Source organism: Homo sapiens, chromosome 9 (assembly GCF_000001405.40).
Source record: "Homo sapiens chromosome 9, GRCh38.p14 Primary Assembly".
NCBI classification, from domain to species: domain Eukaryota; kingdom Metazoa; phylum Chordata; class Mammalia; order Primates; family Hominidae; genus Homo; species Homo sapiens.
The window spans coordinates 14638239-14665447 of record NC_000009.12 but is presented as its reverse complement, the minus strand read 5'-3'; the positions used below and the strand labels follow the sequence as shown (position 1 = coordinate 14665447).

Genomic DNA, 27209 nt, shown 5'->3' with positions numbered 1-27209 from the left:
AAGTTCTCCTGGATAATATCCTGCAGAGTGTTTTCCAACTTGGTTCCATTCTCCCCATCACTTTCAGGTACACCAATCAGACGTAGATTTGGTCTTTTCACATAATCCCATATTTCTTGGAGGCTTTGCTCATTTCTTTTTATTCTTTTTTCTCTAAACTTCCCTTCTCGCTTCATTTCATTCATTTCATCTTCCATTGCTGATACCCTTTCTTCCAGTTGATCGCATCGGCTCCTGAGGCTTCTGCATTCTTCACGTAGTTCTCGAGCCTTGGTTTTCAGCTCCATCAGCTCCTTTAAGCATTTCTCTGTATTGGTTATTCTAGTTATACATTCTTCTAAATTTTTTTCAAAGTTTTCAACTTCTTTGCCTTTGGTTTGAATGTCCTTCCGTAGCTCAGAGTAATTTGATCGTCTGAAGCCTTCTTCTCTCAGCTCGTCAAAGTCATTCTCCATCCAGCTTTGTTCTGTTGCTGGTGAGGAACTGCGTTCCTTTGGAGGAGGAGAGACGCTCTGCATTTTAGAGTTTCCAGTTTTTCTGTTCTGTTTTTTCCCCATCTTTGTGATTTTATCTACTTTTGGTCTTTGATGATGGTGATGTACAGATGGGTTTTCGGTGTGGATGTCCTTTCTGTTTGTTAGTTTTCCTTCTAACAGACAGGACCCTCAGCTGCAGGTCTGTTGGAATACCCTGCTGTGTGAGATGTCAGTGTGCCCCTGCTGGGGGGTGCCTCCCAGTTAGGCTGCTTGGGGGTCAGGGACCCACTTGAGGAGGCAGTCTGCCAGTTCTCAGATCTCCAGCTGCGTGCAGGGAGAACCACTGCTCTCTTCAAAGCTATCAGGGACATTTAAGTCTGTGGAGGTTACTGCTGTCTTTTTGTTTGTCTGTGCCCTGCCCCCAGAGGTGGAGCCTACAGAGGCAGGCAGGCCTCCTTGAGCTGTGGTGGGCTCCAGCCAGTTCGAGCTTCCCGGCTGCTTTGTCTACCTAAGCAAGCCTGGGCAATGGCGGGCGCCCCTCCCCCAGCCTGGCTGCCGCCTTGCAGTTTGATCTCAGACTGCTGTGCTAGCAATCAGCGAGACTCCGTGGGCATAGGACCCTCCGAGCCAGGTGTGGGATATAGTCTCGTGGTGCGCCGTTTCTTAAGCCGGTCTGAAAAGCGCAGTATTAGGGTGGGAGTGACCCGATTTTCCAGGTGCGTCCGTCACCCCTTTCTTTGACTCGGAAAGGGAACTCCCTGACCCCTTGCGCTTCCCGAGTGAGGCAATGCCTCGCCCTGCTTCGGCTCGCGCACGGTGCGCGCACCCGCTGGCCTGCGCCCACTGTCTGGCACTCCCTAGTGAGATGAACCCGGTACCTCAGATGGAAATGCAGAAATCACCCGTCTTCTGCGTCGCTCACGCTGGGAGCTGTAGACCGGAGCTGTTCCTATTCGGCCATCTTGGCTCCTCCCCCCGAATTCAAAGTTTTAACACTGGGATGTTTGGGAGCATTGAGCTAAGTAGGGGAGTGGAATATGATATGCTTGTGACATTGTAATATGCTATAGATTAAATGAGTTTTTATTTCACTTAGAGGTAAATAGTACTAGTTTAACTATGTAAATTAAGCTTTAGTACTGTTGCTCTTGCATGATTTATTTTCATTAAAATAACTGTAAGAGATGAAAAAGTATTTTCTTTTAAAATAAGATTTCAAGTATAAGAGATAATTTCTCAACTTTCATATTATTGGAACAATTAATTTGATGTAGGTTTTATTCATACTTTGTTTCTTCAGAGATGTCTGTAGTGGGAGTATTTTCCCAACGCTTTACTATATAAAAGTCCAGCATGTTGATGTTGCTCCTGACCATTCAACTAAAGTAATGGAATTCAAACAGAGAATCTTAAAAAAGAAGAAAAAAAAGAGAAAAAAAAGAAATAAAAATATCAATATTGGTAAAAAAAAAAAAAAATCTGTAATCTGAAAAAAAAAAGAAAATTGAATATTGTCTACTATTATCTTTCACTTTTATTTAGAATCTTTCATTTTTTGATTTTAGACTTTTCATATGTCAGCAAGCATTTAGTGACTACCTAGTATGTGCTAGGGTCCTACTCTTCATGTACTAAAATTCAATCTGAATATAGGAGTTAGGCTAATCTTACTATGTCCATACTTTTAATGAGGTTATGGGATAGTATAAACACAGATGATGAAAATTAAAAGAATTTTGTAAAAGAAAAATTCCATTCCAATATATTTAAAAGATACATTTTTGTATAATAAGGCAATTGTCTTTTCTAGGAAGATGACTCTTCCATAGTTTTCGCGGACCTAATTAGGACAGTTTTTAATGAAAACAAAAGCCTTTTCTCTTATGCAAACTTTGTGTTTTTGGCACAGAGCTTAATCGTGTGCTGTTTCACTCCAGATTAGAGGAAATTGCTAGTTGGTGGTAGTTCAGTGTTTTATGAAGAACTCCTTTATTTTCATTAAAAATAGTAGTTGTCTTATAACATTTTTCACTACTGAAACTATTCTGATACCTCCCAAACCCATATGACATCCTTCTCTAACCTGTCCCATACACACTCTTAAATGAATCTACTGATGTTTTTTAAAATTAAATGATTTAGGGAAAGTGTATGTGGAGGGAAATGCCATCTGTTTTTCGGATGAGTTTATAGGGTTGATTTCAGTTTACTAATCAATTGAAACCAGGGTCAGCATTATTTCTTCTTTAGAGCCTTTAGAAAATGAAATTTCTAGAAATCAATTTGTTTAAATAAAATTGTTTTAGTATAATAATTTGGTTGGGCTCTAGGGTTTTGTCATTGGATTTTACTTATATTCTCACAGTATACCCAGAATCCAAATACATTGTTTTCTGTCTCTTACTTTGACTATAACAATAGTGTCTTATTTTTTTAGTCTTTTAAATTAGAAACACACAAAATAAGACATATGTAGAATAGAACAGCAGCATTTATGGCAAACACATTTATACCAAAGGCTTAGAAGAAAAATCTCTTAGAGTTTTATGTTGAAGGCTTCCTATAAAATCTTCTAAACAACTGTTGGTAAATTTCAGCATTACCCACTTGCCTTCATTAAATGGATTTTAATTTCTTTTCTTTAGAAAGGGAGTTCTGGGAATTATGTAACAAGTGTAATTTGATGAGACCAAAGCGTTCCCATCACTGTAGCCGCTGCGGCCACTGTGTGAGGAGAATGGATCATCACTGTCCATGGTAAGAATAATTCACTTCTAGCAAAGAAAAGAGGGGTGGGTAATAAAATGTAAATCTTACAACTTGGCAGCTTTAAACAACAGTTATGTTAAAGTTATATAGTTTTACAATATCTTAATAAGGATATCTTTATTTAGATTATATGGTTCTGTCAACTCCCAAAGTCATTTTTCCACAGAAATCCTATCTTTTCTAACAGGGAGAGATTTGAGCCAAAAAAGTAAGAATTAACTGCAGCCTGATATACAAAAGGATTAAGGTGGTTGTATTAAATGAGGCAATGTATATAAAACATTTACTACAATATCTGACAAGTAGGATGTACTTAAATGGTAGCTATTTCTAATTGTAATAAACCATATGCATCCGAATGTTTATATCCCCTTTTCATTTGTTTAATTAATAACATTTCAGACACCCTGATAACCTCTTCCTTACCCCTTAAAGCTTTTTAAGCATTATGTATTGGATATAGCTACTACCATTATGTACTTGTTGGAAGTATGTGAGTGATAATTAGCTGATTCTGCAGAACTGCTAACAGTTTTGGTCAATAGGGGGCTCTCTTGTAATATTTAAAGAAAATGTTCAGTTGAGAAATATAATCTTCGAAAACAAATGCTGCGTGAATTCTGTATTGTATCTCATTTTAAAGCTGTCACAAAAATCTGTGAACAAGATATTGTATTTAATTCTGTTTTCTTAGCATTGGCTCTCTGTATAAATATTTAAACTGGTATAGTGTAGAATTTGACAAATGTATCTGTATACATATATGTAGTATTTATGTTTGTATACACATACATGCATATATGCAAATTTACATAATGAGCCTCTTAATTTATAATTGCTTTTATTTAAAATTGATGCAAGTGGAGTTTAGCTTTTTCTAATGTTAGTCTATTTAGAGTTTTCTTTATTTTTGATAACTTATTTTGATAGCACAGTTATTCAGCAAACTTCTGGTGGAAATTTGTTTTTTTGCATAGACTGTTTAAAAAGAAGATAATTTCCTGAAATAGGAAAAAGTAAGAGCATTTTCGATAAAAGCATTTTGTTACTACATAAAAATTTTAAAAATTTCTAAATCTGTCAACAAGATAGAGTAGTGTATGACATATAGTTGATATTCAAAACTGTGCCTTGAATTTAAACGTAAATAATTATTTGGGAATTACTTGGGAATAAAGATTAATTCCCAAGTAATTTTCTTAAGCTCAGTGATCTGTTTGCTCTCACAATAGTAATAGATTTTTAGAAAGCTACGTGAAACATGTATTCAGATAATTGCTGATCATACAGAAAAGCTCAGTTTTTAAGCGCTTCTTATTGTAGAGTTTCTTATTCACTAAAATACAAATGTTCATGATGGAAGTGGATATTGATGCTTTTTTTTTCAAACGAATGCAGTAGTAAGAAAGAACTAGGAAAGACTCACTTATTGGTGACCAAATAAGGTGCTATTTAACCTTAATTCTAACGTTGGGGTGATTTCTCTTTCTGGGCCTCTTGCTTCCATAGTTTTAGTCAACTTTTCAGAAGTTGGTAGCAGTGAGGGGGAAGTACAAAGGATTGGAGGATCAGAAAGGAGAGTAGACAAGGGACCTAAAGAGATTCAGGAATTTTTATCATTGAATTTCCTGATAGAGCACTGCTGAAATGTTCAGAGAGCAGGGGAAATGTACAGTGTAAATTGGAAGCAAGGAAAATTTTTGATGTTTTCAGAAATTGCACTACTTAACTGCCTAAGACATTTTTAGGTTTGGAGGTCAATTCTCACGTTGCCTCAAGGTTTTCTGTATTTGTGGCTCTGATCATTCTTTTTTTTTTTTTTTTTTTTTTGAGATGGAGTCTTACTCTGTTGCCCAGGCTGGAGTGCAGTGGCATGATCTCAACCTCTGCCTCACTGCAACCTCTGCCTCCTGGCCTCAAGTGATTCTCCTGCCTCAGCCTCCCGAGTAGCTGGGATTACAAGTGCATGCCACCATGCTTGGCTAATTTTTGTATTTTTAGCAGAGACGGGTTGTCACCATGTTGGCCAGGCTGGTCTCAAACTCCCAACCTCAGGTGATCTGCTCCCCTCGGCCTCCCAAAGTTCTGGGATTACAGGCTTGAGTCACCGCGCCTGGCCTGATCATTCTTTCTAAGTAGTGCAGATGTTACAAAAAGAACTCATATAGATTGAATACCTTAGTGCTTCTTAAAGCTGTTCTGGTTAAGAAGAATGCTGTGATCATAGACATTGTTTCTCAAACTTCCTGGGGACAGGAAAGATGGAACAATGATAAGTCATCTTTCAATCGGCAGCTGTTGAAGAGCACTTTTGAGTGTATATTAATACATAAGCACACTTCTCTTATAATCCTGCTTGCAAATAACAAAGCACAGTAGATTTTCTTGTTTACAAAACATGCACTCTTAAATCTTAAGAAATGCCTCTCTAAGGTTTTTCAGTTCAGGTCTGTATTTGACTTTAAAAAATGGTTTAATGACAAAGTTAAAAAGAGCGATTTAAGTTAGGACCGAAACCTGTTACATCGTTTCTTTTTCAGTGACAGTATAATACTATTTTGAAATGAAAACATTTGTGCAAAGTCATTTGTAGTCTTGAACTAGGGTTTTTTGCTGGAATTTTAGGATACTTTGACAATTTGGATACAATAAATTTGGAACAATAAAATATTCAGCTTAAATTAGCCTTGAAAATTTTTTATTGTAACATTAATCCTCTTTCCTAGTTAGGGTTCACTGTTGTATTGGTGGAAGTATAGCTGTGTGTATTTATAAATAGTTTTGAATACATTTTTATTTTCAGCAACCAGGGGTAGATTTTTAAAATGAAAAGTGAATGCTTAGCAGTTATGTCAGAGTGGTATGTTTCAGCTGGTTTACTTCAGGGCATTCAGATTGCTTTTCACAGCTAGAATGCCCTAAAGGAAGAGCAAAATACAGGGAAGCAGGGTTCTTGCTCTCTTGGCCCCTATGTCTTCTAACTCTACATCCTCTGGCCAGAGGCTTAGCTCCTTTGTTCCCTGTTTCCATATCAGTGACACAGGAGACTACCGTCTGCTCTTCCTGTCTCGCTGAGTTGTTATGAGTTGAAGGGGGATCACATATGTGGACTTCCTTTGTGAAGTGCTTTACAAATATAAGATGGTATATTTATAGTTTTCTCTGTATAGTTTGTTTTTACCTTCAAGTGGCCATAGCATATCTCCATGAAGTTAAGCATATGTGATATTATTTGTTTTTAATTTAGTCTTATTGATCCTGAGGTGAACTTCTTGAAATTTAAAATATTGTTTCTTTTTCATTTTTTTTCTTTAGGATTAACAATTGTGTTGGTGAAGATAATCATTGGCTCTTTCTGCAGTTGTGTTTCTACACTGAACTTCTTACTTGCTACGCACTGATGTTTTCTTTCTGCCACTATTACTATTTTCTTCCACTAAAAAAGCGTAATTTGGTAAGAAATGTTTATATTGGGAGGCCGAGGCGGGCGGATCACGAGGTCAGGAGATCGAGACCATCCTGGCTAACACGGTGAAACCCCGTCTCTACTAAAAATACAAAAAATTAGCCGGGCGAGGTGGCGGGCGCCTGTAGTCCCAGCTACTCGGGAGGCTGAGGCAGGAGAATGGCGTGAACCCCAGGGGGCGGAGCCTGCAGTGAGCCGAGATTGCGCCACTGCACTCCAACCTGGGCGACAGCGAGACTCCGTCTCAAAAAAAAAAAAAAAAAAAAAAAAAAGAAATGTTTATATCCACTAACATTAGAGCAGTTGTAGCATACAATTATTAACATGTGGTTCCTTTAAGTACAAAAGATTGGAAACAAAACAACAAAAGATTGGAAACAAAACAACAAAAGCAAACTCCCAAATTGGTGAATTTTGAACTATATTGGGATTGAGAAAGTGGGCCCTAGTCTGACATTTCCTTTTAATGAAATTCATTTATGGTTATTTATTAGTGTTGAGCTTAGAAAGCAACACGTTGAATCTTTCAATACGTGTGTCTTGGTTTAAAAATATCTACAATAATGAAAAACAAAGACAAAATGTTCTTGTTTCTTTTCAGGAATAAAAATGCAGAATGTAATTTTTAAAGGTTCTCAAATAGTTACGTTCTTGAGAAAGAGAACTTTTTTTCTCCCTGCCTTTCATCAGTAATGATATCATGAATTTGCAGGATGCTTTAAAAAGTTATCCACTGAGAATATAATGCATGCTAGGACTATAGTTTTAGAAATGTTTCATCTTATTTATAGATAAATTTCTGATATAATTGGCATTAAAGTTAGATCATGTAAAAGAATGTACATATTCCCTGGAGTAATCTGTTTCAAATAATTGAGCCTAATAAGAAAAGCATTAAAATAAAATTCCTCAGTAAGATTAAGGTAATAATTTTTTTAAGCGACAGAGAAGTAGAGTTTAGTGGTGTTAATGAAAAACAAAGACAGGCTAAGAGGTAACGAATGCATTGTAGTATAGTGCAGTATTGGCAAACTATGGGCCTTGGTTTAAATTCAGCCCTCTGCCTGTTTTTGTTAAAAAAAAGTTTTACTGGAAAACAGCTACTTTCTTTTGTTTATATATTGTCTATGGCTGCTTTTGTTTTATAAGAGCAGAACTGAATAGTTGTGGCAGAGACTGTATGGTCTGTAAAGCCTAAAATATTAACTGTCTGGCTCTTTTACAGTAACTTTGCCAGCCTCTGGTAGTGGAAAGATCTTGTCTTTGTAAACAGACATACCTAGGATTAAAGCCTGTTTTTTCTTATTACATGCATAAGTTTTGACACATTGTTTAACCTCTCTGAATGGTAATTTTCTTCCACTGAAAATGTGAATAATAATGAGATTAAATGAAATAATATATGTAAACTTAGCTGGTATATAATAGACATTCAATTTATGTTACATTTGATTTTAGTGAAAACTCTCAGAGGGAGGAAACAATTTTTCTTTGGCCTATTAATTTTCATGAAAATTTTAGAGACCGTTTTACAGTAACCATTTATTACTGGAAGATTGATGACCAACTAAGGAAATTCCAATAATCAAATGAAGTATTAAGACGTTTGAAATTACAAACTAATTTTCTTCTCCAAATGAAAGGTAGAAACTGGAGAGAAATTAATGGCAATTAGACAGTCACCTTTTTTTAAAATGGAGAAATGGATTATGGGTTATATTTGAATATACGACATATATGTGTATATTTACATGCATAATGAATGTTGGAAAAAGATCAGCAGCATAGTAAATGTTTATTAAGAGATTAAAAATATCAGGAAGAAGAAAGTATATAAAAAGTGAGTATAAAAAGTGGGTTTTAAAAAGTCAAACCAGATTTTCCTTAGAGCCATCAATTGTAGATGCAAGCAGGTGATTTTTTTAAATAAAAATCATAATAATATGTTAGTAGCATTTTAGCAAATGAAAATCAAATCATTATGTTGGTTGTTAGAAAGCTACTTTAGGAATGAAGCAGTACATTATAAATAATTCTAGGGATCTGACAGTTACTTGTGTCTAGTAGTGCTGAGCAGAAATCGTTCTCTTAGCCTAAGTCTTATGGTTTCCTTGTTGTATCAAGCGGTGTACTTTTATAATTACCACCATATTAGCAGTAATGAAATGAAAACTCAGATTATGTTATGAAATTTCCAGGACCATTTTGCTTCCTATTGAGGAATCGAGTAATTTTTAGTTTTGTTTATGATATATTATCTCAATGTTTTAGTTTTGTTTATATGTTATCTCAATGAATGAAGTAATTCATACATATTATCAAGTTAGGTATATGGAGAGAAGAGCTTTACCACAGTATTTCCCATTGTAAGAAAAGACAGACAAATTTAAATACATAAAATTGAATGTTTATTAGCACTGTTCTAACCTACTTAAGTTTAATAGAGTAAAGCTAAATTCTAGGACCAGAATTATAACTAAACTTGAAGAAAGTATTTTATAATCTATGTAGCTCTAAATATTCCAATGATCTGAAGCAAATGAATGTTCAGTAGTTAGTCAATATACATTGAAATGAATTCCAGTCATTTCATTGATTTAGAAGTTGAGAGTTTGAAGCTACATTATAGACACATCCAAATTTCGTTATACCTTTTTGGTGGATTGATTCTTGTATCATTATAAAATATGCCTCTTTATTCTTAGTAATGATTCTTGCCTTCAAATTTTTTTTCTGTTATTAGTTTAACTATATCAGTTGTCTTTTAGTTAGTGTTTTCATGGTATATCTTTTTCTGTCTTTAATACTTTCAACCTATCTTGATTACTGTGTCTCATAATGTGCCTTACAGACAGCAGATATTTCATTAAAAAATTATCTTTTAATATGAAACATTTAGTAAATATTTACTTAGTATAACTGGTATTTTGTCATTTTCCTATTTATTATTTGACTTCATCTGTTCTGTGTTCCCATTTTTCTCCTTTTCTTTCCTGTTTTGGAATTTCTAATTTAAAAAAAATTCCAATTTTCTATTTCTAATGGCTTTTTCTTTTACTCTTTTTATAGTTTCCCCAAAAGTGAAAACATTATTCTGATTTTTTTGAAGTATAATATAAGTTAGTACTTTACCATTGTGCACCTAATGAAAGCAGTGGTCTTGGAACACCCTCTGTCATCATCATTTTTCATATTTTGGGGTAGAAGGTAGATGTAGAAAAAAATCACATGATAACAAGACATTATTGTTGTTACATATACATTATGTGTTATATTGTTATACAAGTTATATGTTACCTATAGTCAGTATTTGTTTTGAGTTATCTACATATTGGTGCTTTTTCTAGTACTCTTTATACCTGAGCCTCCTCTAGGCTTATTTTTTCTGCTTTTAGTGCAAGTCTCTTGGAACAAATTCTCTCAGTGTTGGTTCCCTGAAGATGCTTTTATTTCTCCTTCATTTTTGAAGGATTTATTGTTTGGCACAGAATTGTAGATTGGTGGTTACTTTCGTTCAGTTTTTAAAAGATGTTATTCCATTGTCTTATGGTTTCCATCATTTCTGTTGTAAAGTCAGTTGTTGGTCTTACTGTTACTCCAATGAAATATGTTTTTCTTTAGCTGTTTTTATGATTTCTTTTGGTCTTTGTATTTTAGCAATTATTCTGTGATTCTATGATGTGCTTTGGTATTGTTTTCTTTGCACTTTTTTCTGTTGGAGAGTTTATGTAACTTTGAATCTGTGGCCTGATGTCATTCTTAAGTTGTGGAAATTTCTTGGCCTTTGTCACTTCAAATATTACCTCTGCTCAATTTTTTCTCCTGCAGTTCTGGGATTCTACTTACATGTACGTGAAGTCTCATTGTGCTGCATATGTTCTGAATTTATTTCTTAACTTTCCTTTTTTATTCCCCCTCTGTGCTTCATTCTGGATATTTCCTATTAATTTATCCTCTGGTTTACTAATCACCTCTTCTGCCATGTCTAACCTACCCTTAAATCCTTCTAATGAGTTCTTAATTCAGTTATTATATTTTTCACTTTTAGAATTTCCATTTGATACTTTCTTTCATTGATAATTTCTGTGGTGAAATCATCTATTTTGTCATCTATTTTTTTAAACGTGTTAATCACAGTTTTTAATGTCTGTGTTTGATAACTTTAACTTTGAGATCCCCTTGTGGGTCCGTTTCTGTTGACTCTTTTTTTCTTCTCAATTTCCAGATATTTGGCCCTGTCTTCTGACATGTCTAAGTTAGAATACTGAGCATTTTGCATGACAAATTGTAGAAAGTGTGATTGTGTTCTTTCCTCAGATTTGATTTACTCTTTTTTTTTGATAGGATATAAGAGAAGCCTCATTTTTATCCAATCAGGGGTTTGTATAACAAGAATTTCTAATGCTAAATAACAGAACATTGGTCTTAATATAGCAGTTTTTGGAAAGATGCTATTTATTGCATTTATTGGTATTTTGTAAGGAATCTTGATTGCTGGATTTGTCTTTGTGAAAGACTAGTTTCAATTTGCCTTTATTCCAATAGTCTAGTCCTTCGGGGTCTCAGCTGAAAAACTGAGGTGTTTATTGTGGATTGTGCCCTACAGTTACTGTTTTCCTGGCCTTGGAGATTTTGCAGGATGTTCTGAGTCTCCGGTTCTACTTGACTTTTCATTCAGTACTGAATGTGAATTGACAGGTACTTTCAGATAAAAAGCAGTGCAGAATATATGGCTCACCTTAACGCCTGTCTACTTTCTCTGAGATTTTGGCCTCTTAAGTTCTGGGGAGTTTGGCTACTTGCCAGTATCTTTAAACAGCTGTGTATTTATTAATTAATTGGATTTTATCTGGCTTTTAATAGTGTTTTTGGTGTGAGTGTTGGTCTCATACGAACTGTTTCCTCATAGGTGTCAATGGCAATAGCATTTTGTTTAAAAAATTTCTTCCCAGGTGATTTTAATCATTGCTGCCTAATTGCATAACTCCAGGAGGCAACACTCACATCATAGTCTATGTAAACAGTATCCTGTGGAGTTGTGCAGTGCAAAACTTCTGTGGCCATAAGGTCTGAGAAGTGCTGTAGAGTAGGGAATGAGACTCATGGTGGACTTCATAGGTGAGATAGAGATTAACCAAATGGGGAGATGAAGGAGGTCATTGCTGGGCAAAAAAAACAACAAAACCCTTGAGGCTGTAACTGGAATAATTGGTTTTAAGGGCAAATCTTTAGTAAAATTCCAGCAGTATAACAAACTTCTCTAAAGCTAAATAATAAAATAATGTTCTTACTTCAGCAGTTCTTTTGTAAATTACATTTACTGTGTTTTTCATAAAGGTAGAAAAAAATTACCAATAATTTCAGAACCAAAGTCACCATTATTACCATTGACATTTAAAAAAATAATGTTTTATGGTGGAATATTCTTCAAAAAATACTGCCTCATCAGTGTTTTTTGCAAGTCTTTTCCTGTGTTTCTTTCATTTTTCTCTAAAACAAGCAAAAATCTGTATCCAGCTGTTGATTATGTGTATAAAACTATGTGTGAATAAAGACAGTATCAGGAACTTCATCTTATTATCCTTTCTATTATTCAGGATATGGAATAAGATCCCCGAAGGTCCCTAACTATCTTTGGATATTGCATTAATGATTATTATACATATTTTTTGTGGGAGTAATGATGCAGTTAAAGCATGTGGTGGACTTTGACCCTGTGTTCTTCTGTCAGCCAGACTGAAGCAAAAGCTGTAGTCTGCATTTTCTTTCTACCCTTTCACGTAGATAGGTGGCAGCATAGTATCTTTTCTAGCCCATCTTTAAATTCCAAAGCTGAATGGAATTGCCTGGGTCAGAAGAGAAAGTGTTAACTTTCTTGTTTTTCTTTTCTTGTTTTTTAAGGCGAAAGTGTTTATTCATTAAACAACAACAACAAAAAAAATGAGTTGCACTTTGACCATTGATGTAATGGCACTTAACCTGTATTCAGTAGAAAACTGGTACGTTGTATGTTATGCTCATGGTAAAGACAGTTGAGAGAAAGCAGGTTGTTCACAAATTCTGGGAAATGAACAGATTGGGAGCCTGATTTTCTTCCATTTCTCTCTTCTCCTCGCCTTCTGTTTTCAGGAGAGCTCTTTCTGAGCTGGATTATTTTAATTTCTTTGCAAGTGCCCCATTGTTTTTTATAGTAACTTAATGCTTTTTAGATTTCTTCTTAATCTTTACTTTTAAAATATTCTTTTATCACGAACGTTCAAAGATTTATATGTTTTTACCATGTGAAGTTTTGAGGAAATACTTGAATTTATCTTTTGTTGAGGAAGTAAGGACTAAGATGTGCAGGAGATAAGGAATTTATAGTTTATCATGAATCAATGCCCAAATTTAGGATTTATTTTTTAAGCTATAGATATTGATTTATATTCTGAGTCTTATACTAAAAAAAGGCCTGTGAACCTAAAAAGAATTAGTATTTACTATCTTTATCAGAAATAGTAACTTAAAAAATCCCCAAATTCTCAGTGTAAAAAATGCATGTCTAGAAAAATTGCAGAAACTTGAGTAATAGTTTTGTTTTCTAAATAAATGGAGATAAATTAAACATTTTTTGTTAGAATCACTAAATCAATAAAGATTATAAACTTTGAGATGTTTGGAGAAGTTTTTCAGATGTTAGACATTAAATTAGTTTGCATCATTTGCATTTATCATTCCAGTATAATGTTGAATTTTACTTAAAACCCCTCTCGAAAGTAATGTTTGACTTTAAATATTTATTGGCATGAAAATCATTGTCTAGGTTCTAAAACCTGTAGATTGGGTAATGATTTGGCATTTAAGTGAATAAAATAGATGGATTTTGAAGAAAATGAACTTTCATTTTTTACCAAGGTCCATATTTGACTATTTCACATAGTTACTTTAAATGCTTATAAGCAGATGCCTAGTCATTTGGTATATTATGAAACTCTATTTCATTTTATTGGATACTGGTTATTTACCAAAACTAGAAAATTACGGTTTTCAATTAAATATGAAGGAAAGTACCACTGTATTTAAAGAGTATACCTTCTTAAATTTATTGTATGTTTATCCATGAATATTTTATTGGTAACATGTTTTCTTTTTATATTATTCTGGATTTGTGTATTACTTGGATTAGTGGAAAATGTCTACTCCTATGAAATATTTCTGAAGGGATAAATAGTATGGTTGCCATCTTACAGGTAAGGTAACTGAAATTCAGAGAAGTTCAATACCTTGTCCAATCACAAACTTGCCACTTGACAGAGGTGTGATTTGGGCCCATGTCCCTAAGTCATGTGCTTGCTATTACTAAATCCTATTCAAACTCCCATTCAATACTACTTTTTGCATTTTTCCCCCAAGGAATTTTTTAGCAATATTATTGTAGGATTAATAATATTAAATATATTTAAAAATACTAAACATCATAATATCTGCTCTTCAGAGAAAGCTCAGTGAACCTCCTGATTGGTAGATTAATATTTTGCTGTTTTCATTGAGGCAGTCTGTTATATCTTATAAAGGCATCGCAGTGGGTTAAAAATATTTTTTTAAATATGTTCCTGCTGGAAATCAGCTGCAGGCAAAGTTTACTATTTCTCTACATGAGAAAATACAAGGTTTTTAAAAAAATAATTTGTGGCTATTACTGTCAGAGATTATACAGCTAATCTTTGATGGTATACCACTTTAATTCTAAAATTATGTCCTTTAGCTTCTTTTTAGATGAAGTGGATTCTGATAATTTCTAATTGTTGTATACTTATTTTTATGTGAAGGGGAAAAGCATACTAACTGCGTTTAAGGCTATGAGAGCAGTGGGTGACAGAAGGGGAAGAGAGGAGAGAGAATTTCAATAAAGGAAATGCTGCCAAAATTCAGAAGAGGAAAATAAATAATGTTTAGCAGCCTAGCCAACTCTTCTGCTAGGAAGATACATTATTATTATTCCAATTGGCTGATATCTAATAGTGTTGCTAGGGATTTGATGTCAGAACTGTTCCTACAGAATTATTTGCCTAGCCTTTTGGCTAACAAAAAAAAGAAATAGCCAGAAGACTTGGCTGCAGGTAGCTTTGAATATTTGTAAATCTTTTCATAATTTATTTTAATCTTTTTGTGTAATCTGTTTTAAAGTCGCCTGAGTACTTCTGCTATTTAAAAAAATATTGTAGCCTTAATAATAACTTTTATTTTCTTAATATCTAGAAGGTCATTTATTTTGTTCACTGAAGAATGGAAAAAAATTGCTAAAATACACATTTAGCTTTTTAGATTTTTGGAAAGAATAGCCAAGAGTCAAGAATAGCCAAGAGTATTGTGGAATTAAAATTGATATGAGATGAAAATTATTTTTAGTGCTAATATAAAAGTAATTTGGCTTTTTTGTTCCTGTTTCCTGAGATGCTACTAGAGATATTCCTTAGTAACATTTTTTATTTTTTTTGCTTGAAAAGAATAATGTCAGATATAGTTTATATTTCTAAAGAAATAAGAATAATCTATTTATTCTAACAATTGCCAATTCCATTTGTCAGTATATCTCTACGCTTTTAGTGAGAGATGGAACACAGAAACCTTATAATAAATCTTAATCCTGTCCTACAACACCAGGTTGACTGAGTATATGTCCTCATTAAACATGTTTCCATAGTCAGTTATAAATATTAATAGCATTTAACATAGAAAATTTAGCAGTTTTTATTTCTCTGTAAAACTGTTACAGTTACTGTGAATTTAAATGGTTAAAACCTGGCAGCAATTTTATTGTCTTACTCTTCTTTTACTTTTACCAAACACTGTAGCACTGCATTAATTGGTGAATGTAGTAAGGAAGTATGTTATCCTGTTCTCTTATTGGATTGCCCAAACTTTTCTAGAATTTTTACTGCTAAAATATGGTCAGGCAGACAAAATAATTTTTCTGGAATACTTCACCCTCAGCCATGAACCTGACAGTCAGATGCTAGTGAAATACGCTCTGTAAGACAATTGCATACATATGATTACCAAAATTTAGTAGATAATTCTGAACACTCAATGACAGCCATTAGGGAGGTATAAATAATTATTTGTTTCACTTTAGATATTAATTGCCATTAGGATGTAATAAGACTGAGAAAAGTACATTTTACCTGAGCGTTGGGTTGGGAAGTGGAGGGGTTTTATGTAGAATAAGCTTGTAACTTCTTTTCTTATGTTTTAGAATATAATAAACTTTAGCTAAGGGTCATTCCAAAAAGTGCTCATACCCATACAGGTATCATGGGATTTTATTTTAGGATTAAATTAAGATTGCTTATTTTAATGTGAGAGTATTTGCCTTATGAACCTACCCTCAGCATGTGAAGTTGGTTATTTAGTTATTTTGAAAATTCAAATCTGTATGCTTTAGATATCTCAGATGTGATCTAAGCTGTTTCTGTTATTTTTATTTTTTAATTTTATGATTTTTACTGTCTCCAGGTGTTTCTATTCTTTTAACAACAGAGAAAAACAAAATCCTTTACCAGTGGGTACAGTGGTTCTCAGTTGGGAGGAGGTTGACTTTCCCCCACAGAAAACATTTGGTAATGTCTGGAGATGTTTTTGGTTGTCGCAGCTAGGGGAGTGCTACTGGCATCTAGTGGGTGGAGGCCAGGGATTCTGCTAAATGTTCTGCAATGCACAAGAGTGTCCCCTGTAACAAAACATTATCCAGCCGAGTGTCAGTAGTGCTGAGGTTGAGAAACTGTTCAGTAGGAGGAAGATCACAAAGAAAAAAAAAATTTTTACTTTTCAGAGTAGTCTTATAAAAACACAGAAAAGTACGTATAAGCTGTGGTTTATAAATAAAAATTGCTTCAAACTCATTGATAGGAAAATTGTCATTTTATATATAAAATTTTATTTGTAAAACACAGTTTTTTTATTTTAATAAATTGTGAGGAACATTTATTAAGTCATTCAGTACATATTATTGAGTGTCTATTCACTTCCCCTTCGTCTAGGCTCTAAAACAAAGTTCCTGTGTTTAAGGAGCTTACGTTCCAATTAGAGAAGACAGGCAATAAACAAATATATGGTAAACAATATGAGTATTATGACGTATAATAAAGCAGGGTACAGGGGTGGATATAGTCAAGGAAGACCTTTCTCTAGTGACGCTTGAACAGAGACCTGGAACTCAAGCAAGTCACTGTTGTTGACATTCTCAAGGAACAGTAGGGAGACCAGTGTATCTTGAGTGGAGTGAGTTAGGGACAGAGCAATAGGAGATGATGAGTTGAGAGTAGTAAGGGCTGTGATTGGACTGGAGACTTTATTAAGATGGTTAGTGGTTGGGACTTTGTAAGCTGTTGGAGGGTTTTGAGCCATTACACAATCTCATTTACATTTTAGTAAAAAAAACCTGATTGCTATGAAAAATAAAGGACAAGGATAATAGCAAGAAGACCAGCTACTAGGCTGCTAAAATACCGTCCAAATATGAAATGATTATTAGTAGTGGTAGAAGCGTTTACAAGTGGTCTATTATAGTTTGAAGAGCTAACAGAATTTGGTGATAATTTGAATGTGGGCTGTGAGATAGAATGCGAAACGTCAAGGATATTTCCAGGGCTTCACCGCCCAAACAACTGGAAGAATGGAGATACCAGTTACCGAGAGGGGGAGCCTGACGGAAGAATAGTTTCTGGGAAGAAGTTAAAGATTTGGGTTTTACACATGTTTACTCTGCCTGCTTAACTTCCAGGGACAGATGTTAATTAAGCAGCTAGATACAAAAATCTGGATTTCAATGGGGTGGTCTGAGCTAGATAAATAAATTTGGGAGCTTTCAGCATAAAGATGATATTTAAAGACATGGAAACTGACTGGAGATTTCCTAGAAGTAATTCGAAATAGAAAAGAAAAGAGTTCTGAAGACCAAACTAGGCACTCATCAGTTTTTGAAGTTGGAAAGACGAAAGGTAATAAGAAAGGTGACTAAGACTGCAGCCAGTGAAACACGAGTAGAATGGTGGTGAGAGAGGGTCAAGAAACGTGGTGGTAAATTGAAAGAGAAATTATCATGATGGACTGTGGAATATAAACAAGTAGGGAGTTGAATATATTCTGGAAAGCCAATGACATGGTGGTTGGGCCAAGGAATTGGAGCTCCCGTCGGGGTTGAGAATTTGTTAGCATTGATAGTCAACAGGGAGTTAGCTCAAAAGAAAGCATGTGGTATTCATAAGGTGACATACTTGAAATTGTAATTATGTTATGAGTTACAGTTCTTAGAAATGATAAGGTATAGTATATAGTCTTAGAATTTGAATTGAGATTAGGATATAAGTTTATAGGAAGATATGAGCTGAAGGAATTCACAGATCAAGTATTTAATTATTTGTTAGATCATAAATAGCCAAATCTGACTCTTCTTTTCATTTAGCTTGCATTAAGAGGTGGTGCCCCCCACTGCCTAGTTTTGTAACATTTAAAAATTTTTAAATGATACAGTTCTAAAAGATTATGAGATAGGAGTATAGGAATATTATTAATATTTCATGAGAGTGACCCTCTCCTCCTCTGCTGGTTTATGTGTGAGGACATAAGTATGTTTATGTACATGTTGCCTATGTGTTTCTTTTTCTGTGTTTATTGCTGCTATTATACATGTGAAACAGTCCTTGTAGATACTTTTCTCTGTCTCTTCACATGTTGAGGGAAGAGACAGTTCTTTGTCCAATTTTCTTTGTTTTCATTCATTCATTTAATAAATATTTGTTGAGCTGGAGCTGATTCTACATTCCAGGCACTCATGATTGAACAAGACAGGCAAAAGTCCCCATCTTCAAGAAACTTGCATACTGCTAAGAGAGACAAAACAACAAATAAATAGATATATATCAGATGGAGATAAATACTATGAAAAAAATAAAATACAGCAAGGAAATAGGGAATACTGGGATTTTCTGTAATTTGGTCAAGGAAAAGGTCTCTGATAAGGCGATATTTAAGTAGAAACCTGAAGAAAGTGAGGGGAGTATGCTTGTGGTTGTCTGGGGAGTTTTCTGGGAAGAACAAATGCAGCAGTCCTGATTTGAAAGTTCGCTAGCTATGTCTGAGAAATAGCAAGGAGGTCAGTGTAGTTGTAGGTGAGCCAGGAAGAAAGTGGTAGATGAGATCAGAGAGGTGGTCTGACTCTTCCTCTCCTTTTTTCCTGTCTCTCACATCCTTTTCTGTGTCTTATTTGACAAATTTTTGTCTCTGTTTTTTATAGGCCATTTATAACTAACTTTTATGTTTTATATGTATTTTAAGAGTTTGGTTTTCTAAAATTAATAAAAGTATTTTTATATTCTGTATTTCACTGTTACAACTTTTTGTACCTTTTATATTGTAAAATGTGATACACATATGAAGGAGTGCATAAAAATAAAAACAGTTAAGTGAATCATCCTGGTGTTTCTTTTGGGCAACATTTGGAAGATTTATCCTTTTTGTTACTTTAGATACAGTTTATTTTCATTGTTGTGAATCCTCATAATATTTCATTTAATATAAAGCCATTTATTCGTTCTGTTGATGGACATTTACTTTGTTTCTAGTTTTTGGAGGTTATAAATAATGCTATTGTGAGCAGCCTTGTTTATTCCTCCTGCTGTCCATGTGCATGTGTTTCACTTAGATGTATAGCGAGAAGTGCTGGTGTTCGAAGGTTAAGTGGTATGTTCCTTTAGATAGTGTTAAACAGTTTTCCAAAATAGTTGCACCCATTTAAACTCCTACCAGTAGAGTATATGAATTCTGATGGCCTCATATCCTTACTAATACTTAAATCTTCTTAACATTAGCCATTTGGTATGTATGAGCAGTACTTCATTGTGTTTTAATTTACATTTCTCTGATGACTAATGATACTGAACCTCTTTTCATATATTTACTGATTATATGACTGGCCTATTTGGCAAAGTGTGCCTATTTAAGTATTTTTCCCATTTGACTTTTTCTTGGTAATTGTAGGGCGTTTTAGATTAGTCCTTTTTTTGGAATGTGTTGTAAACATCTTCCACTCTTTGGTTTATCTTTTCACTCTCTTAATGGCATTTTTTGGTAAACAGAGGTTTTAAATTTTAATGTACTCCACCTTATCAACCGTTTCATTTTTGAGTAGTGTTTTTTGGGTTCAGTTTATAAAATATTTTTTATCCTTTCTAAAACCAATGTAATTCTCCTTTATTATCATCTAGGTACTATATTTTTCTGTCTTTCCCATTTCTACCTGGAATTGAATTTTGTGATTCTCATGAGATAGAAGTCAGGGTTTCAGTTTTTTCATAGATGAATAGTCAATTGATTTAGCACCATTTATTGAAAAGATAATTCTTTCCCCTCCACTCTGTAGTGCCATCTTTCTCCTAATCATGATTCATATGTGTGTGTGTCTGTTTCTGTTTCTTTTCTAGTCTGTTGATCTATTTGTCTCTCCTTGTGGAGAGACAATACCACACTGTCATTACAACTGTGGTTTTATAAGAAATGTTATCTAGTAGAACAGTAGTTTTTAACCTTTTTTTAAATTCCCATTTTCCTCCTATGGAAATTTTCTCCTCTCACCACCCCTGTGAAGTTAAATACTAAGAAAAAAGATTTTGTCAGATAAGATTGTGTAGAGCCACAAACCATAGTGATAGCTAAGACTTTTTTTCTCCCTCTAAGAACCAGTTTTCTCCCACTTGGGAGCAAAACTTGCCCTGTCGAGAATACATGCAGTAGAACCGACTTTCCTACCTTGCTCTGTTTATATGAGCCTCATGGTATTCTTTGTGTTTGTTTTTTCCTATGAAATAAAGAAACAGCTTAGCAATTTCTACAGACTAAAGCAAAGTAAATATATATATATATGTGTGTGTGTGTGTGTGTATACATATGTATGTGTGTATATATATAAACTCCCACCAGTTGTATATAGTATGTAATGTGGTTATATATAAGCAACCTGATCAAATTGAGTTTATCCTAGGAATGAAAGGTGGTTTTTGCACTAGAAAATAAGTCAGTATATTTTATCACATTAACAGATTAGAAAAAAAATTCAAATAGAGCATCTCAGTGTATGAAGACAAAGATAAAATTCAGGATTCATTCAGGTTACACACTCTTAGTAAACTAGAACTTAGGAGAACTTTCATAATCAGATAAATGGTCTTTCTTCCCGACCCCCTTAAAAAAAAAACACACAAAATCAACCAACTATAGCATGCTAAGATGAAATGTTGACTTCTTCCCTCCAGGTTGGAGACAAGGCATTGATGCCCCCACTATCACCATTATTATTCTTAAATATACTACTAGAAATTCTAGCCAGTGCAGTAAGACAAGAGAAAGAAAGAAAAGGTACAACTGCTGAAGGAAATAAAACTGTCATTACACATAGATGATGTAACTGTATAAATGATTTATCTATAGATTCTTTTGGGTTTTTAAGAAAGTATAAAAAATGTGACTATGAAACAATATTTTTAAAAATCTATTTTTATATGCTCACAAACAAACCTTTAGACAATGAAATTAATAGCAAATGCCATTTATAATAGAATCAAAAAACAGGAAATTGCTGAATTAAATCTGACAAAGTGCAAGTCCTTTAGAAGAAACTTAACGAAAGGTAATGGAGAGAATATATTATACGTGAATGTATGCATGAGTATGTGTTGTAACTTGAAAATGTAACTTTAAAATTTTTATGCAAATACAAATTATCTGGAATAATCAAGACGTTCTTGCAAAAGAGTAAGATGGGATGACATGGCCTACCAGGTATTGAGACTTATTACAAAGCCGTAATAACTAAGACATTTGTCACCGTTGCAGGGATAAACAAACCAAGGGAACAAGAGTAGAGAGCCCATGCATGTATGGATACTTGATCTCAGGTCACTGAAGAAATGACAGCTTTTTAGATAAGTCATTCCGGAACAGTTGAATATTCATATACAAAAAGTAAATTCAGATTCCTATCTTTCACTGTGCACAAAAAAATTAAATAATAATTCTATGTGAATTAGTGACCTAAATGTGAAAGGCAAAACTTAACAAAGCTTTTAAAAGGCTTTACAAGATAATATAGGAGAATGCCATTATTACTTCAGCATCAGGAAAGATTTCTTAAATAGGATATAAAAAGCACTAAAGGAAAAGATTGATACATTGGACTACGTAAAATTAAGACTTTAGTTTATAAAAAGGTGCCATCAAGAGAGTGAATAGGGTAGTTTCAGAGCAGGAGAAGATATTTGCAATATGCAGCTGAAACATAGCAATATCCAAAATGTATGAAGAAGGAGTTAGTAACCTTTACCTTTAGGGTAGGGGTGAGGGAGAGCCAGCAATGGGGAAGGAATACACAGGAGGCTCTACTTGGTTTCAGATGTTCTAATTCTTGAGAGGATACTGTTACTTTTCTTCTTCTTCTTTATATATATATATTTTTTTGAGACAGAGTCTCACTCTGTTGCCCAGGCTGGAGTGCAGTGGCACGATCTCGGCTCACTGCAACCTCCACCTGCCAGGTTCACGTGATCCTCCTGCCTCAGCCCCGCCTAGTAGCTGTGATTATAGGCATGCACCACCGTACCCTGCTATTTTATTTTTATTTTTATTTTTTAGTAGAGACGGGGTTTCGCCTGTTGGCCAGGCTAGTCTCGAACTCCTGACCTCAGGTGATCCACCCACCTTGGCCTCCCAAAGTGCTGGGATTACAGGCGTGAGCCACCGTACCCAGCCCAGTGTTACTTTTCTTTAAACTGAACACATGTGTTTTATGAATTTATCTGTATATGAGCACATTTTTTAACAAAAATGGAAGAAATGTAAACAATAAAGAAATACATTTATTGATTATATTAGTTTGCTAGGCCTGTCTTAAGAAAATACAACAAAGTGGGTGGCTTAAACAACAGAAATTCATTTTCTCACATTCTGTAGGCTACAACTCCAAGATCAGGGTGTCAGCAGGTTAGTTTTCTCCTGATGCCTCTGTCTTTGGCTTGCAGATAACCACCTTCTCTCTGTCCCCACATGGTCTTTCCTCCGGGAACATCCATGGTGTCTCTCAGTGTGTCCAAATTTCCTCTTCTTATAAGGGAACCAGTTGGATTGGATTAGTGCCCACCCTAAGGGCCTCATTTTATTTTAGTCACTGCTTTAAAGGCTTTGTCTCCAACTACAGTCATATTCTAAGGTACAGGGGTTAGGGCTTCAACATAGGAATTTTGGGGGACCTAATTGAGCCCATAACACTGATTATGTAGTAAAGATCTCGGATAGCAAATGGGTTCCTGTGATTTGGATAAAAATTTTTAAGCCAATTTTTGGATTCAAAAAGTGTTAAATCTAAAAAAATCTAAGACAGAAGTAAAGATGTACTCTAGAGAACAGTGTTAAGTGACTCAAAATATGGATTTAGTGCTGATGATGTTAATTATGCATGTGTGAACTTGGAATACAGTTGTTTTTTTGAAAATGTAAAAGTGATAAAAAGCAATTTCTAGATTAAAGTTTTTTTACTACTGTATTTTACATAAATACTTTAAATATAAATGTATAACCAAATGAATAAATGTAATATTATAAGTAGATCTTTTAGTCTCATCTCCATCCTTGACATTTATAAATTGTAGTTGGCCAAAAATTATTTTAAAATCTTTTCACTGGGAGTAGAGTGGATGGATTTTATTTGGTCATAGATGGTAATTTTAGTACAGTAAGCTCTGCTATAATGCAATATGTGCATTCCTAAAAATCACCTCACTGTGTAAAACCGTGCATTAAAACCACAGGGCTTACCACTCCGAAACTTTGTCTGTGACACTTAAAAGGATAGGAATATAATAAAAACAACAGCACTCTTTTATATAAATATTACGTGATTAAGAAATACATAAATACTATGATAAACATGGCACTTTACCTTGAGAAAGACCTGAAGTTTTCTTATGGAAGTGAGCATCAGGAGGGTTGCAGAATGTGAATTATTGTGAAGTGATGGAAGGGAGGGTCTGTGAAATTGGAGGGAAAGTTGTAATACTAGTTGTGGGTGGGTGTGGCTCATAGCATGGAAGAGAAACTGAGGTGGCTGGTAGATGTTTGACGGGTGAGTGTGTTTTGTGTATTCCTACATATTTTGGTTCATCTGGGTACAATTTTTTGTGTTCATCTAGGATTTTTTCACAGATAAAAGTATGCATAAGAATGATTGCCATGGTCAAACTTGTTTAATGTATCAATTATGTTAGAACAAATTTGTGTTTTTAAATAGTGTTAATGCAGAATTTACTTAATTTTTTATGTCATCCACAGGCCCATCATTTTGGTTTTATATGTTTTATAGGGATTCTATATTGGGTTCTTTTTACTGAAGTTTTGAAATGATTGCCTAATATTTACCTGCTACATAACGTTTTAAGTGTCTTGCTGAATTCTAAGTTTTTCCAGGCTAATGAATAAGTAATGTGGATGTGGAATCAGATTTTTGCTTGAGTCTGGTGGTGACTCAATATAATACACACAGAAAAGTATCAGTTCTTCTGTTTCAAGCAAGCATACTATCTCTGGTGGCCTTCCTATTTTTGAAGTTGCTGTTAGGATACTTTAATCCTTAACATGAATCAGTATAAAAGAAAGCATGTGGGTGGTTGTGTTTGGGTGTCCTTTCCATCCACTTGGTGCTTTTATTTTCTGTGGTTGTTTTATTCCACAGCTTAGCAACAGCAGATTTCCAGGAGAAGTCTTAGTTCTTCATCTCTCTCTCCTTCCTCTGGTCTGGTTGGTTGGTAACAGTGAGAGTAAATGAAATGCTTTTTGTTTTTCTGTCTTCCCACCACAGTGTCTTTGGTTTACTTTTAGGACCCTCATTTTCAATCTCTGAGCCAGAAGACCTGCCTTTAAATCACAGCATTTCAATTCCTCCCTCCTATCTAGGCATTCCTTTATGTTTCTACAGTACTCTGCATGCATCCCTGTTATAAAATGTATCACATTGTTTTGGAATTTTCCAAAGTTGAGCTCTCTTTCTAAATAAACTGTACTTCTTGAGGCCATGGACCATATTTTTATCATTTATACATTTCTGTTACGTAACACAATGCTTGGCAATGGTGGTTGGGTGACTGGATGGAAGAATGAATGAAGTAGGCTTGAAGAGAGCTGTACTTATGATCCTATTATATATGATTTCTCTTCATTTTGTCCACGTTAATGATTTCTAGATATCTTGGTCACTTGAACTTTAGTAATATGAATCATGCTGTGTATTCAAACTTTTTAGCAGAGAAATAATAAAATTCCTTTTGTAAACCAAAGATTGTACAACCATCTGTGTTTTGTTTTGTTTTGGGTTTTTCTTTTCTTTCTTTCTTTTTTTTTTTTTTTTTCCCCAAAATAGGTTCAAAAAACAAACAAGGCTAACTTGCACCTAAGATTGAGGAGTTTTGATGCAGTAGAGTAGTAAACTCCTGTATTTTCCAGCTTGCTATTGTAAATTAAAATACCTATTTTTGAAATTTTAAAATATTTATACATTGATTTCAATAGAAGTATAAAAGAGGGAGAGGTAGTTCTTTTAAGATAATAAGGAAGATGTGTTATGGCTCAATTCTTGATTATTATTGCGACTGTAAGCAATGTAAGCAACTCTGAATGGTTTTTAAGACTTTCTTTTTCTTTTTAGGACCTCTTTGTTTTTAGACATGAATTGGCCATAATGAGACTAGCAGCCTTTATGGGCATTACTATGTTAGTTGGAATAACTGGACTCTTTTACACTCAACTAATTGGCATCATCACAGTAAGTATATTTTTAATGTAAAGTAACATTTATGAATATATTACCTAATTATGAATGTAATTCTCAAAAGTTATAGGAAGTTTAGAAATCAAAGGAGAAAATTACCCATGCTTTTTAATACTTTCATGTGCCTATGTAATTTTAAAGTAGTTATAATCAAGTACAAAGTATACACAATTTTGTATCCTGTTTTTAAAAGCTAACAAATACAGTGTTTTTATATGACTATAGACATCACGTTTATAGTTTTTTATTGATACACAGTATCTTACGTATTTATGGGGTACATATGAGTATCTGTTACATGCATATAATATATAATGATCAAATCAGAGTATTTGGGGTCTCCATCACCTTGAGTATTTATCATTTCTATATATTAGGAACATTTCAAGTCCTCTGTGCTAGTTACTTTAAAATATACATTGCTGCTGACTGTAGTCACCCTACTGTGCTACTGAGCATTATAACTTATTTCTTCTGTGTGTTTATAACCATTAACCACACTCTCTTCGTCCCCCGCTCCACCCATGCACCCTTTCCAGCCTCTTGTATCTCTCATTCAATTCTTGACCTCCATGAGATCAGCTTTTTTGGCTCTCCCATATGAGTGAGAAAATATGATATTTGTCTTTCTGTGCCTGGTTTGTTTCATTTAACATAATGACCTCCAGTTCCATCCATGTTGCTGCAAATGACAGAATTTCATTCTTTTTATGGCTCATAGTATTATTCCATTGTGTATATATACCAGATTTTTAAAATTCATTCATCTGTTGATAGACACTTAGGTTGATTTCCTATCCTTGCTCTTGTGAATAGTGCTGTGATAAACGTGCAAGTGCAGGCATCCCTTTGATATACTGATTGTTTTTTTTCCTTTGGATAAATACCCAATAGTGAACTGCTGGATCTTATGGTAGTTCTATTTTTAGTTTTTTAAGAATTCTCAGTATTCTTTTCCTTAGTGATTAGGCTAATTTACATTCCCACCAACAGTGTACAAGAGTTCCCTTTTCTCTGCATGTTTGCCAGCATCTGTTACTTTTTGTCCTTTTAATAAAAGCCGTTCTAAGATGATATGTTATTGTGGTTTTGACTTGCATTTCCCTGTTGATTAATGATGGTACTTTTCATATACCTGTTGGCTATTTGCATATCTTCTTTTGAGATATGCATATTCATGTCCTATGCCCACTTTTTAATGGTACCTTTTTTTTTTAATTGTTGAGTTCCTTGTATATTCTGGGTAGTGTCCCTTGTCAAGCAAAAAGTTCAAGTGTTTTGTCTCATTCTACAGGTTGTCTCTTCAATGTGTTGATTGTTTACTATACAGCTTTTTAATTTAATAGAGTCCCATTTGTCTGTATTTGTTGTCTGCATTTTTTGAGGTCTTAGCCATAAAATTTTCATCTAGACCAAGTCCTGAAATATTTTTCCTAAGTTTTCCTCTGGTAGTTTCACAGTTGTAGGTTTTATGTTTAAGTCTTTAATACATCTTGAGTTGGTTTCTGTATATGGTGAGAAATGGGGTCCAGTTTCCGTCTTCATTCTTATGCATATGGATATCCAATTTTCCCAGCACTTCTCATGTATTCAAAAGACTGTTTTTTTCCCCCAATGTATGTTCTTGATGCCTTTGTCAAAAATCAGTTGG

At 34.2% G+C, this 27209-nt stretch overlaps 1 protein-coding gene across 29 annotated transcripts in view; it reads left to right on the top strand.

Annotated features, from left to right (window-relative positions):
* The window catches only part of ZDHHC21 (zDHHC palmitoyltransferase 21), a 104636-nt gene that overhangs the window by 27985 nt on the left and 49442 nt on the right, over positions 1-27209 (top strand). For all 29 annotated transcript variants that reach the window (XR_001746284.2, XR_001746285.2, NR_148714.2 and 26 more), the window contains 3 exons: positions 3122-3233; positions 6561-6699; positions 25436-25552. Coding sequence is in view for 17 of the 29 variants with exons in the window: in NM_001354126.2 (NP_001341055.1) it covers positions 3122-3233; positions 6561-6699; positions 25436-25552 (368 nt within the window). In the remaining 12 variants the exon portion in view is untranslated. The remainder of the gene's footprint in view (positions 1-3121; positions 3234-6560; positions 6700-25435; positions 25553-27209) is intronic.